This window comes from Homo sapiens, chromosome 3 (assembly GCF_000001405.40).
Source record: "Homo sapiens chromosome 3, GRCh38.p14 Primary Assembly".
Classification (NCBI taxonomy): Eukaryota; Metazoa; Chordata; class Mammalia; order Primates; family Hominidae; genus Homo; species Homo sapiens.
In genome coordinates this window covers 107,660,602-107,674,769 of record NC_000003.12, presented here as the reverse complement: position 1 = coordinate 107,674,769, position 14,168 = coordinate 107,660,602, and the positions used below count along the sequence as shown (strand labels likewise).

General features: G+C 35.0%; 1 protein-coding gene across 16 annotated transcripts in view; it reads right to left on the bottom strand.

The window, feature by feature from the left end:
• BBX (BBX high mobility group box domain containing) overlaps nt 1-14,168 on the bottom strand; it is a 288,378-nt gene that overhangs the window by 136,570 nt on the left and 137,640 nt on the right. For 2 of the 16 annotated variants that reach the window (XM_005247644.5, XM_024453649.2), the window contains one exon: nt 12,826-12,942. The exons of the other annotated variants lie outside the window; for them this stretch is intronic. The gene's annotated coding sequence lies outside the window, so the exon portion shown is untranslated. The remainder of the gene's footprint in view (nt 1-12,825; nt 12,943-14,168) is intronic. 16 annotated transcript variants of the gene reach the window in all.

The following is a 14,168-nucleotide window of genomic DNA, read 5'->3' as shown; positions in this document are numbered from 1 at the left end:
ACCAAATCTAAAAGGAGTTCTTTGTAAGATCACATGTGAATTGCTTTTGAGAAAGTCTCTTTAGATGTCTTACTTTGGCTCCTCTTCTATACAAACTGCTGTGGGAGCCTAAGAAAAGCAGCTTTCAAACATGCAAGTACACAGATTTGGTACTGCTGCCGCCAGGCTGCAACCGCTGCCAGGGGAAAGAAGTGAGTCAAAGCAATTCTACGCATCGCACGCCTCAATGTCTTCCCTTCACTTGGCAACAATACACTGGGATCAGTCATCCAGCTAAATGTCCAGAGTCCCAAAGTCATTACTAGCGCAAGGGTTTCTAGTCTAAAACTTCCAAGGTGATATAAAAGTTTAAAATCAGTACAAAGGAGGTCTTTTTATGTTACTACTAAACGCCTGGAATAATCTGTGAAAAATTAGAAGGGTAGTGAGACAATGACTTAGGAATCCTACAATGTGTGTGTTAGAACTTTCAGACACACCTTTCTGGCTCGAAGGCGTTACGGTACTTACTAAAAGAATCAAGAAGAATCAAAAGGCAGTTTTTGGTATTAGTTACATAGTCAGAATTTCCAAAGATATTTACATGTGAATGCCTAATTTTCAGGCTCCTCTGACATGTATTTCCAATTTTTAAGGGACTACAGATGATTTACTGACACGTTCTTTTCCCTTGAAAAATGTATCATCACAAGTGTTATTAATGGTTTGCGTCAAATTCTATCATATATGTTTGAATGCATTTTTTTTCTAAAGAGAGTGATTAATTTTACATTTTGTGGCCATACCACTTGTAAAGAACAGTTCACATCTGTCCACCAACATAAATAAAATACTTGAAGACTGTCACGAGGACAGTGCCTCTTTTGTCAAACTGCTCTATGCGTGTTTTACATGAAACAAGACTTCCAAATGTGGAAAAGGTATGTGTTTATACATGAAGAAATGTATTTCTAACAAGTGGGCTTCTTTATTTTAAAAATAGTTCTACATGTAGTATTTTATGATAATTTTCAAGAGTTTACAGTAGTCAAATGTTATCCAGAATAAGAGAAATTTCTAAAAAAAAACTTGAAGTGGGTCTTACTATAATAATTATCCGGTTGTCTCTAATAAGCAGCAATTTATAAAACAGAAAACTTTATTGTAAGGAGGCATACTTTTAATCAGTATTATTTTCATTCTTTGAGAGTCTTAGAATGTTTACCTTTTGCCTATGCTCTGAATTTTTCTGGGGAATTATACAACTGTTAAAAAGGAAACAATATGATTCCTGTGAAGGTTTTTTGGGGTGGGCAGGTAGGTACAGAAGCCAAAATGCTGGGTTTAAAAAAATGTAGATTAAAGCTTTATTAAAAACAGATTTTAAATGGCCATTTTATTAGAAATTGTTGAGCCTTTATCAACATAATAGGAAAACTTACTACCATACCCCAAGAAAAACTCTTTGCCCTAATCAAACATATCTAATTGTCATTACACCCCATAAAAGGTTTTGCAACTCCTGAAACCATTTCTACTACAAGGAACGTTTTCTCTAACTCTTGTTCTCTTTTCTTTATTATCAAAAGTCTGTTAACGTGAAACTCTTATTAATAACTCTTATTAACTTCATCTAACTTGATTTAGGAATAATCTTCTATTCATTTTGGACTCCTACTTTACTTCATTCAAAATCACAAAATTATAGAAGTCAGAACATACTTCAGAGATTATCCAATTTAACTCCCATATTGAAAGACAAGAAAATTCAGGCCAAAATTAAGAAATTTGCTCAAGGTCCTAGAACCTGTTCAAGATGAAAGAGCTGGGGCTAGTACAAAGTCATCCATGGGGTTAATTTTTCATTTTCATTTATCACTGAGAAAGACTAACAATTCTAAAGCCAACAAAAGTTTATTTAATTTTTTAAAAAGTAAATCGTGACACTCTTCACAAAGGATAAAAATTTCACTTCATTAAAATTTACTTCATTAAAATGACCAACAGTCATTCCACATTCAAAGTGAATGTAGTGAGCACCCACAGCTGTGCCAGGCCCTTTAAAAACAAAAGGCAAAACAATATATGAGAACTAAATACTTATCATAAGATCCTAATATTTCAGCACACTGTACTCCAATGGACTCTTCTACTTAATAAAAATATACCCTAGTTTGATACTCTTCCTCTATTCTGGTTGCTTTCTTTTACCATTCCCTACTTCAGCTTCTAAATAATTCATGTCTTATACTTAGGAGATGTTATCTTGAGGAACTGGCGATAGTACAACACAGCTTCAAAAATACACACTTTCTACCTGAACTACAAAATGTTTCCAACATAGGTTCTTTTCATGAAATCCCATACTCAACTTATGCTTGAACACTGCAGTCATGTTATCCTAGATCCCCTTTAACTCAAAATATCACTTTGTATCACAGGGTTATAAAATAGCCAGGACCTTTCTCCTAATAGGTCAAATCCTCTCAATACGTACTTTGTAGATTGTGATTTGAAGATAAGAACAATTTTTCTCAAATAACCTGCACTAACAGTTATATAATTAACATAATTATTTTACACTTGGGGAGCTAAGGTGAAGAGATACTTAAGGTCTCATACAAGTGACTCTAATACATCTGCTCTAATTCTCAATTTAACAGTCCAGACATAAGATTATGCCTCATTAGAAAGTTATGAAACAGAAGATATCCTTTTCCAATTTGCCTCCAAGTTTCAAATAAAATACACTACATGTGGATATCAAAACTTCAAAAATTCATTTTATCAACGATTAAAATTTGGTGTTTAGGACTTTTCTAAACCATGTTGATCTTTCTGTAGTTGTCTGAGATAAAGAATCACAAGTAGAGACTTTGAAGATGTAAGATTTTTCAAAAAGGATCTGAGAAAACAGAATCGTAAAACTAGGCTGCATTCGTGTGGTCATTATTCTTGTAGCATGCTATTCCATTATGAATATTTAGTTATGTCAGAGACTCATCAACACTCTTTTGCTCCCTACATATTTACAGCAATGGTCTCTCAAGGAGGCAATGAGTTTGCAGTGCTATACGGATCTAATAAAATGTGTGAATTGTTTTATTCTGCAGCGCTCAATTTTACAATTCTGAAAAGTCTTTTTGAGATATGTTTCTCTGTATGTTTCTGGCCTTGTCCATGTCATTCTTCGAATTGACTTTCTTCAGTGAACTAAAGCATTCACTTAATTTCACCAAATAATACACACAAAATTATGACTTTTTTTTCTCAGCTTGTGAATAACATTGAGATGTAGCCCTTGTTAGGTCAATCTTGAAATGAAGACTCAATGTTTTCCTCTGAGGATCAGAAAAATAATTCAAAAGAAATACTGAGCTCTATCAGTTAAGTTCTCTTAATAGTCTCAGTGGTGTTTAGGCTCAAATCTCTACAAATTTTAAGACAAAAATACACTACATGTGGATTTCAGAACTTCAAGTTACAGACAGAAGCTCTTATTACAGCAGCCAAAATATAATCTGAATGCTAATTTTGATTTCTTTGCACTACCCAAAATCAAATAACTTTTGTTGGGCAACTGCAGACACTCGGCTGAGTCAATGAACATATTTAAGACAGCTGCTTCTTGTTTGTGAACCCAAAACTATTTTCACTGAAGGAAGCGCAGGTTGTACAATGAAAAAAAAAAAAATCAGAATACTCCAAAAAATTTTTTTAAAATGCTCAACAGGAAGGATCCATTTAACATGTTTAAGGATAAAACAGCAATCTGATCTACGTAAATCTCAGAACACAACTAACAGACATTCCTCAACTAGCCATATATTTTTTAAAATTGTTTTTAGGAAAAAACAACAAATTATAAAAAGCTAGCATCAATTAAAAACAAACACCAGCCTTCCAGAATGTCTTGTGCAGGGAGTGCCGAGGTAGAGATGTTGTTGGTGTTGGTAGTGGGCAATTAATTGGGTGTCAGTACCTACTTCTTCAAACATCTGTAAAATAATTATTATTCATTAAAGTGATCCTCTCATTAAAAAATAAGCTTCCCTCTACTATTTCTTATTAATCCAGTCAAGTGTATTCAACATTTTTATATTTGTAACACAAATATGAAACTAAAAAGTTTTCTAGCTTTCAATGAATAAAGTAACCTAAACTCTTCTTTCCTAAACATTCCTGTTTATTCCATAATTTTTATTCTTTTTGAAATTTTTATTTTATTTTTTAATTGACATATAACAGCTATACATATTTATGGTGTTGATATTTCAATACATACGATGTATAGTAATCAGATCAGGGTAATTATTGCATATCCATTGTCCTAAACATTTATCACTTCTCCCTGCTGGGAACATTCAATATCTTCCTTCTAGCTATTTGAAACTATATATTATTATTAACTACAGTCATTCAACAGCAGTATTACACTAGAACTTATTCCTGCTATTTAGCTGTCATTTTATATCCTTTAACAAATCTCATTTTTATTCTTGAAAATTAAGACATCAGTTTCATTTCTTAATATATTAAAATTACTATTTGGTAGAAAATGTATTCTCTTACTGTATGTTTTAAGTTGATACATTAATAAAATGTATTAGTGATCTATTTTGTTAACTGACATTTTCTCTCAATTTAAAGTGCATTTCCTCAAATGCTGTGAATAAGAAATAGTTAAATCTAATTAGCTAAGTCTAATACATAACATCTGATTCAAACTCAGGTGTACTAATATACATGAAAGAATATATATAAAAATATGTATGAATATAACCCTAATTTGGATCCATTTCATAATTCCTAATAAAGTAATATTTTCAAAATAAAAACTAAAAAGTTTATCTGTTTTCCATTTCCATGCTCATGAGTCAGAGCAGGGGTGTTAAAAGGCTTGGCGACTTGGCAGTCAGGCCTGGCTATGAATTTTGACCACTAACCTAAGGACCTCTGTTCATTAATCTGTAAAAGTAGACTAGGGCCTACTTCACAGGATGGTGACAATGGAAACAGATAATAAATCTGAAAAATCCCTTTTAGAGTACCTCATATATACTGCCTTGTATACATACTATTATACTATTAAAAATGCATATTTCCTTCCCTCTTCAAACCCTTTGGCACCACTTCAACCCAAGAGATAACTATAGCAGTTTCTAAGTGATAATCTCCATTCAAACTAATCTGTATCAGATTTACTTAGAATCATGCTTTGAGGTTTTCACTCCCTGAAATCAAACCCTTTAGTGGCCCTTTACGGTCTACTCCTAGAATTTAATTCCTTAGTTTGGTATTCCGCATCTTTTTTGTGCCCCTTCCCACCTCACTCCCCACCCACATATTCAAAACCTGGCCTCAAACTTCCTTTGCCTTTTACTATATCCCAGAAGATGTATTCAAGGCCCAGCTCCCTGCAATGGAGTGCTTTTTTGCCTCTTATCATTTGTCCAGAGATCCCTTATTTAAAACGGCCCTTCTCTCTTCCTCTTGATGCAAGTCAAATATGATCCTAGGCAAAATAACATCTCCTTCCTCTAAATTCTTAATTCTCTACAGCATGAGCCATAAACTGCCTTGTGACACTATTCTATTATTATCTCAAATGATAATTTTAAATCTGTGACTCAGCCTCTTATTGTACCTCTACCTCAGAAATATTCACATCATCATCATCATCATCATCGCTAGCCTCTTAATTACAGGCAGGGAGTCTTAAAGTTCCCATTGAAGACCACAGATTTAAATCTCTGAAGTTAACATTGTCCACGGTTCATCCTTAACTTTAACCTCTGAATGTGGGAGGGGGATGGGAAAAAGTAGGTGTCTCCCTTATTTGTCTTTGAAGTTGCCACAATAGCATAAATCAAGAAAAAGGAGAACGCAGTCCCATCATGATTTTGTCAACCATAGTAAGTACAAAAAATAAGAGCCAGAACCTTTGCGTGAAAACTGTCTTGGAAGCCATTTAAATGCAAATAATTTCAAACAAATCAACAAAAGTCTCCGGCACATTTTTTAAAGATTGAAAGAAAAGGAAACGTACTCAAATCAATCTTGATTAAGCTCCAATGAGTGAAGAAGAAAGGCTGTCTCCATGAGCTTTAATTTTGAAGAAACAGCTGACTGGATGACTCCATTCAGTGAAAATCAGACCCACTCCTGCCTTGGCACAGAGCTCTATTAGTTCTCTGACTCAGAGTTCCAGAGCATGAACTTTCTTAGGTCCAGAGTGGTTCTTAGCAGGTAGCTGGTTACTAAGGGATGAAAACGCAAGCCCAATGTTTATTGAGCAGCTCCGGGCTCATAGAAATAATACTGCCATCAACCTGATTATAAGAAACACACATCTATACGTGCTGTGTAGGGGTTAAGTTAACAGGAAATAACCATAAATGGATGAAAAGGGCAGCCAAGAATCCTCTAAGTTCAAAACAGACCTTAACCTAAGGGCAATAATGTCATCATTCAAATGAGACACAGTGCTTGGCTAGCACAGGAAAAAGGAGTAGTGTCCACTGGCTGAGCACAAAAGAAACACACAGATTCTGAGTTAAGATTTGCTGGGAGAAAACAGTTTGGCACTTGCATAGAAGAAGAAAACCATATTTAGTAATTTTCAACAACATAATATGTAGGTGAGCTTCCTAGAAGGGTCCCAATTCCTCAAAATAAATATCAATATTAAAGTGCAGCTGCTCTACTTTCTGTTCCATTGTTTTTACAAAAACAATCAGCGACTTATTTTTCAAATTTAATAAAACCTAGTCAGGCTTTTGGAAATGTAAATTTTTATAGCTAAGATAAATACTAGAAAATATTCAAGAAAACAGATTCATTGCTCACTTCTTTTTCATCAAAATTACAGATCCATTTAAACATTTCAATTTTTAAATTTCAAATACAAACTACGAGACAAAATGAATATTGTTATTCAAGCAAGACCTGAATCTGAATGAAACTATTCAAAACTATTTTAATAAAATACTTTCTAATAATATAGATAAATCTATTTTTAGAATACTTCCTTGGATAATTACATAAACCTCAATGCTGAGTTACTTTTATATTTATTACCAACTTTACTGTATAATAGATAATAAGAGTAAAAAATATGCAGTTCAAAATTTATTCTTAATTTAGCATTTATAAAACCTTTTCCAAATTAAGCCCATCCAATACAGAATCTATCATAAATGCATTTCCTAGCATCATCAGAAAGAAAATTTTGTATCACATATTTATATATTTATAAATTTTTCTACTGTACTTAAGGATGGTCCAACTTATTTTATTAATAATATAGTTTATTTTTAATATTTGTTGCAACTTAAATCATTAGAGAATATATGGCTTTCAGAAGACATTAAATTAAAATAAGAATACTAAATGAGTGTTGTAGGTTTTATGAAGCACTTTCAAGCCTGTCTAAATTAATAAAATATTAAGTGAATTAATACTACAAAAGAAACTTTTATCACTGATAATTTAAAATATTAATGTGAATACTTAACAGGTCAAGACTTTTACATTAATCAAAGACACATTATAATAACAGTCAGAATGAACATTCTCCTATCAGTAAAGTTTTCATGTCAGTAATTTCTCCCATTTTTTCCCTGATAAGCATAAAAGAATGTTTCTCTCCTTGAATTCCTGAGGAACAAAAAGTAATCTGTTCTTCTTGAGATAGGGTGGTATTAACTGCTTCTCTGAACAGAACATTGGGCATAATACGTTTCCTTAACAGTTTTGTCAAGTAAGCAGTTAGTTAGGAGGGGTGAATTCTCACAGATAGTCTGGCTTCTTGTGCCTCATGGCTGTATAGCCCAGTGAATCTTGAGTGTTTTATGTGTATGGAGGCTGGGGGTAGGAGGTTAACAGCTAGGCTTTCAATAATAAATAATTTTATATTTTAGGCCGGGTGCAGTGGCTCGCCCCTGTAATCCCAGCACTTTGGGAGGCCGAGGCGGGTGGATCATGAGGTCAAGAGATTGAGACCATCCCGGCCAACGTGGTGAAACCCCGTCTCTACTGAAAATACAAAAATTAGCTGGGCGTGGTGGCACGCACCTGTAGCCCCAGCTACTCAGGAGGCTGAGGCAGGAGAATTGCTTGAATCCGGGACCGGGAGGCAGAGGTTGCAGTGAGCCGAGATCGCGCCACTGCACTCCAGTCTGCCAATAGAGCGAGACTCCGTCTCAAAAAAAATAATGAATAATTTGACATATTAAAAACTCACAATTTTTAAGCTTCCAAATTTGATTCAGAATTCAGTTAGTGTTATTAAAAATAAATCCTTCACTAAAGAAGTTTCCCCCCTTTTCCTTGTTTTTTAGTTGTAAAATTTTTCTCCTGCCTTCTCATTTTATGCTAAAAGTTGCAAGACTTAAATGGAATGTTCACAAACCAGATCTATTAACATCATGAGGAGCGTAATGTGTCCACTGGCTAAGCACAACAGAAATGTACACATTCTGTATCGCTGAATAAAGGTGAGGAAGAGTCTATACCTGACCTTTGTTAAAGAACAAATACATAGCTCTCTGTCCAGGACCCTCAGGAGTGATTAGTTACAGTCTACAGAGAATTAAAAGGAAGTTGGTTCCCCTTCCCATTGTAGCCTGATCTCTGGCATCTTTTGCCTCTGGTGCAGAGTTCAAAAGTACTCACAAGATGAATCCAGGACCAGCAACACATTTAGGAAATATTAGTCACGTGAGAATCTGGAGTCAAATAACTCCTTGAAAGTGGTTTAGCAATTCCCTGCAATAGTTAATGGAAAGACTACATGAAGGTGCAAGGAAAGAAGTCAGGCTGTCACTCACCATTCACCTGGAGTTGAGGTGTCCCAAGCAGAGGAACCACAATAGAAAGGAAGAAACAACTTGCCTTCAGCACCAGATACAGACAGACTCAACGACTTCAAGGAAAAGCCCAACAGAAAGAATCAATACTGACTCAAAGATGGTAACTAGAGTGTGAGAAAAGACATGGGGTTATGCTGTATAGCAAATAACAAAGGTAAGGACGAGTTGCCCTGGGCATGGCTGTCGGGTTGAGGGAAGAGAAGAAGGAGCAAGAAGGCAGAACTCAGACATTAGCATAGAACAATGCCTGGGTTGCCTGATAAATGAAATCGGGAAGCCAAAGGCATTTTTTATACTAGAACAAATCAACCCTAAAGAACAAAGAGAGGAAGAGAAGTTCAATGTATGCCCCCACTTGCTTGGTTATGAGAGACAATCACTGGCAGGTTGCTGTGACACAGTTATGGGCCTAAAGCTCAGTAAGGTAGATAGATTCAGACTCTGGTAGTGGTGCTCAGACAGTGACAAAGCGTTTTTCATTTCAATTAGAAGATAGAATACAAAATTGTGGCGTCAAAAGGAATCTTACAGTTCACTGGTCTACCACTCTAATTTTTCAAAAAAAGTAGAGTAAAGCTCAAGAAGAAATGACTGGCTATGGTTTAATAAAGCTACTTACTAGCAAAACTATTTAAGGTATTCATGATTTCGGCCTAGTGCTTTTAGGGAAATTATTGTAGCTCAGCAGGGGAAAGGTATTTCAGTGCTGACTGTATTTACATCTTTCCTTTCTACATTCAATAAATACCCATTGAATAAGTACCAGGAAATAGGATAGATCCTGGTATATTTCCTGGGAAACTGCAGAAGATACATGTAGTAGTGGCAGCAAGCTTGACAAAACGCAAAATATTGAGATCAGACAATTAAAATTATAAAACACGAAGTACCCATTACGAGATTAGGAGGAACTTTTGATATTAAAATTGGAACAGTGTGTACAAATATCAGATACCAAAAGAATCATTGGCTAACAAAAACAAAAGAGGGCGAAGGACAGAAAAGGGGACCTGAGTCATTTACTCAAGCTTTTGGAACTTTTGCAATACAGAACAAAAGATGGGTTGATCAAAGCGCTGCAGCTTGCAAATAGTCCTCTGTGGGTCACTCTTTCTCTATCTCAACAAGAATTAGGGGGAAAAGAAAAGAAATGTACATTCTCTGCAAAAACTGTATTTCTTAGAAGTCAGAAACAGCTGACAGTTTTCATTTATTGCAAGAGAACATTTATTCTTATGATAAGGTTTTCTGGAGGCAAAACATTTAGTGAGCACACATATCCAGCTATTTCAGGATGTCTAGATTTAAATGAGTTTGAGAAAAGGTATGAGTGACAATTGGGAAACAAAAATAAAAGCAGCTTCCACAAAGAGTAAAACTAACTTTTAAAAAATGAGGGTCATCAGGGTTTTTGTTAAGATGATGTTTACAGGCAAACTAAAAAATCTTTTCCATTTTTAAACTTCTGCTCGGATATAGTCACATTCATGCAAAGTATCATTCCTAAAGATATGGTGAACATATTAAACAAAAATCTAGTAATTTTAAAGAACTATAGGAGCCAGAGAGAGAGAATACTTACATTCTGTTAGTGGGAGCATAAAATGTAACAAGTTCTATGGAAATCCACGTGGCATTATCTTGTGGAATTTCAGGTTGGGCATATCCTATCACCTAACAATTCAACTCCTGAACATATATCCTGAAGAAGTAATATGTACATAAAGAGGGCATATACAGGACTCAAGAACTTTTCCTCTGCTGCTTTATTTCCAATGACAAAAATAAAAGAAAAGAAAAAGAAAAAGAAAGAGGCCAGGCGCAGTGGCTCACACTTGTAAGCCCAGCATTTTGGGAGGCCGAGGCCGGTGGATCACAAGGTCAGGAGATCGAGACCATCCTGGCTAACACGGTGAAACCTCGTCTCTACTAAAAATACAAAAAATTAGCTGGGCACAGTGGCAGGTGCCTGTAGTCCCAACTACTTGGGAGACTGAGGCAGGAGGATGGCGTGAACCCGGGAGGCAGAGCTTGCAGTGAGCCGAGATGGCATCACTGCACTCCAGCCTGGGCGAGAGCGTGAGGCTCCATCTCAAAAAAAAAAAAGGAAAAAAAAGAGAAAGAAAGAAAAACAGCTAAATAGCCATTAAAAGAAAGTAAATAAACTATGGTATTTTCATACAATAAAAGATTATACATATATGACAATAAATGAATTACAAAGACAAGCAGGAATGAGTCAAATACGATGTTGAGCAGGAAAAATAGTTGTTGCAGAAGAAAACATGTAGTATGTATTATTTATATAAAATTTAAAAACAGGCAAAATTTAATGTAGGGGGTACATAAGTATGAGAAAAACGACCAAGAAAAACACAGAAGTAATAAACTCAACATTAAGGATTGTGATGAGGGGGTAAAGAGAGGCAATGGAATCTGGGTGGGGCACACTGTGGGCTACAAAGAAACTGGTAATGTTCTATTCTTAAACTAGTGGTAGGTTCTCAGTTATTCGTGTTAATGTTATTCTTTGTACCTTATCTACATAGTATAAATATTTTTGTGTAGGGTAGCAAAAAAAATTATCATAGTTTAGATTCATCATGATTCTAAAGATATGACTGCAGAATTATAAACACAGACAATGGTAGAGAAGGTAGCATAATAGGGTGCTGACTATAGCCACAAACTTATTTCTCAAGTTAATAAAATTTTTTGTTTAAAGGCACATATTCAGCTTGCAGACCATAGGGACATACAGAGAGTCTAATTCACCATTTCTAATATTTAATTCAGTATTGTGACATTATACCTGTTATTACTGTGAAACACAGTTTTCTAATGTTTTATTAGCAGAAGGTACAAAGGGTCATTAATATCCATGCACAATAAATATTCTTGTATCTATAGCATTTTCTGTATATACAAACATTCTTGTATATATAGCATTCTTACTTTTAAAAAGCTCTCAGAAATAACATATTTATTTAACAAACAATTTTAAAGGTATTTTTAAGTATCCGCGAGTAGCAAGTACCTAGCACGTACTCAGGACTCTTTGAGGTAAATATTTCCGGTGTTAGTTTACACATGTGGAAATTGAGATTCAGCATTGTGAAGTAGATTGCCCAACGTTTAAAAGCTAGTACAGCTGGGATTCAAACCATATCCAACTCTGATATCCAAACGTGAAAAGCATGCATCTACTAGCTAGGACCGTCTAAAAATACAACAGCAAAAATAAATTTCTAATGCAAAAAAAAAAAAAAAAAAACCCAGACTTGTTATATTTCAGCTTACTATTTCAGTTTATGTTATTCAGAATGCATCCCTGAACCATGTTCTAATGGTCTGTATCAATTTTATGTCACAGTACTTCTTTATTACTTCATATAATCACAATTTACACTTAAACCCTAAAAATTCTAAACTGGCAGCGGATACCAATTATGTTTATGGAAAGTCTCAACTTGGCTGTACTTCTTTTCATAACTGGAATTTCTCTAAGACTGGAAGTAAAGTTAGCTGTTGGGAGACTGAAACTTAGCACTTTCATTTCATTACCCGCCACCGTCAGGGATTCACTCACAGGGAAGCAAAAAGGCTTGCCAAGCCCCACAGAAATTACTCACTTCCACTCTCTCTTTCCTCATCTCTCTTCCAAATGTACTTCAAAACCTAATTTTAAACTCATGCAGGAAATCTGATTAATACCACTTGGCTTTCTCTACTCCATTAACCCTAGGCCCCATCAGCACACATAAAACACAATTCGTTTATATGATTATCTGTCAGCTTTTTAATTTGTCATTGTTTTTTTCATTTGCATGTTTGTCTAGCCTGCAAGAACCACTGACAAGAGTTTACAAATTTATTTCTTCTGTCCTGTGTCCTAACAAATTCTTCTTCCCCAAAAGGACCACCAACTATGCTGCGTGAACAGTAGTCACTTAACAAATGCTGAATGACTTACTACAGTGGAACAATTCGCCTCTGGTATTTCTCAATATCCCAGTGAATCCTCCACATCTATAACATGCTGGAGATGATACCAGGTACTGCTAGAGGCTTGGGGTCTTCCTGAGGGTGCCTGGGACAAGAAAAACACAGAGACCAGAGACAGTCAGGAGAAACACAGAGAGAGGAAACATGGAAATAAACAGAGGACAGAAATAAAGAGTTGAGAGGAGCAAAAGAGTCAGAAGTTAATGGAGAGATTAAGCAGCCAGAGAAATCACAGACAGGGAGGAAGCTGGCAATCTGAACTTGGGTTTTGGTTTTGAAACCACATTTCTGGTTCTATTTACTCATGTAATAGGTGCTCTCATGTTACTAAATCTGTGATACCGTCAACCATTTTGAAGTTATTGCCATGGTTTTTCTGAGCTTGTAACTTTACCTATTAAAATTCATCTTCACAGGGTTTCATCTTTGGAGATACATCTACACACACAATCCTCCAAACAACCCAGCTATAAATAAGGAAGTATTTTTCCCAGTTTAGAAAATGAAGGTCAGAGAGGTAATGTGACTTGCCCAAGACACAAGCAAATGAATGATAATCGAGGCCCCCAAATTTTCTGATTCCAAAATCCACTGCTTTTTCTGGTATCCTATATTGTCCCTAGTAGAATATTAAAGAAATCCAAACTGGTTTTGTAAAATAAAATTCAAATAAACATAATTAAGGATAAAATTTTTCTATCTTATGGGACACTGAATTACTCACACTACTCACTAGGATATTTTTAAGATATACCATAAAAAAATCTGCATAAAAATATCAGAATGATAAAAAAATTAAGAACAGAAATGAAATTAAGTGAACAGTCACTTGACAAAAATTTTTAAAAAGGGCTAGAATTAGTTTATTTGCTTCTACAACTTTGTAATTTCAGTCTTAATGATTCAACACATTTCAGCTGACTGGAAAGATAAACTGATGTTCTGCATTTCAATGAATTCTTAGAGCTAAGCACTAGTAAAGAACCGGTGCTCAAAACTACTTGTTCTCTCAAATGTCTCACCTAAAGTCTACACTGCAATCCAATTTCAGGGTACTTCATAGGGTAGAAATTATAAAATGTATTGCTCTTTGTATGCACGAGTATTCTCTTTTGAGGGGCACTTAAACTCTTCTAAATAATCATGCCTTTTTAGTAACATTCAATGGAATTGCCAGAAAAGCTCCTTTGATAAAAGTATAAGCATGTTATTGGATTTTACAGCAAAATAAGACAATAAGAACACAAAGAAATTTCTATTCAACTGTGTATCAATATATTTTCCATCATGTTCAGCAATTTTTAAACCAGA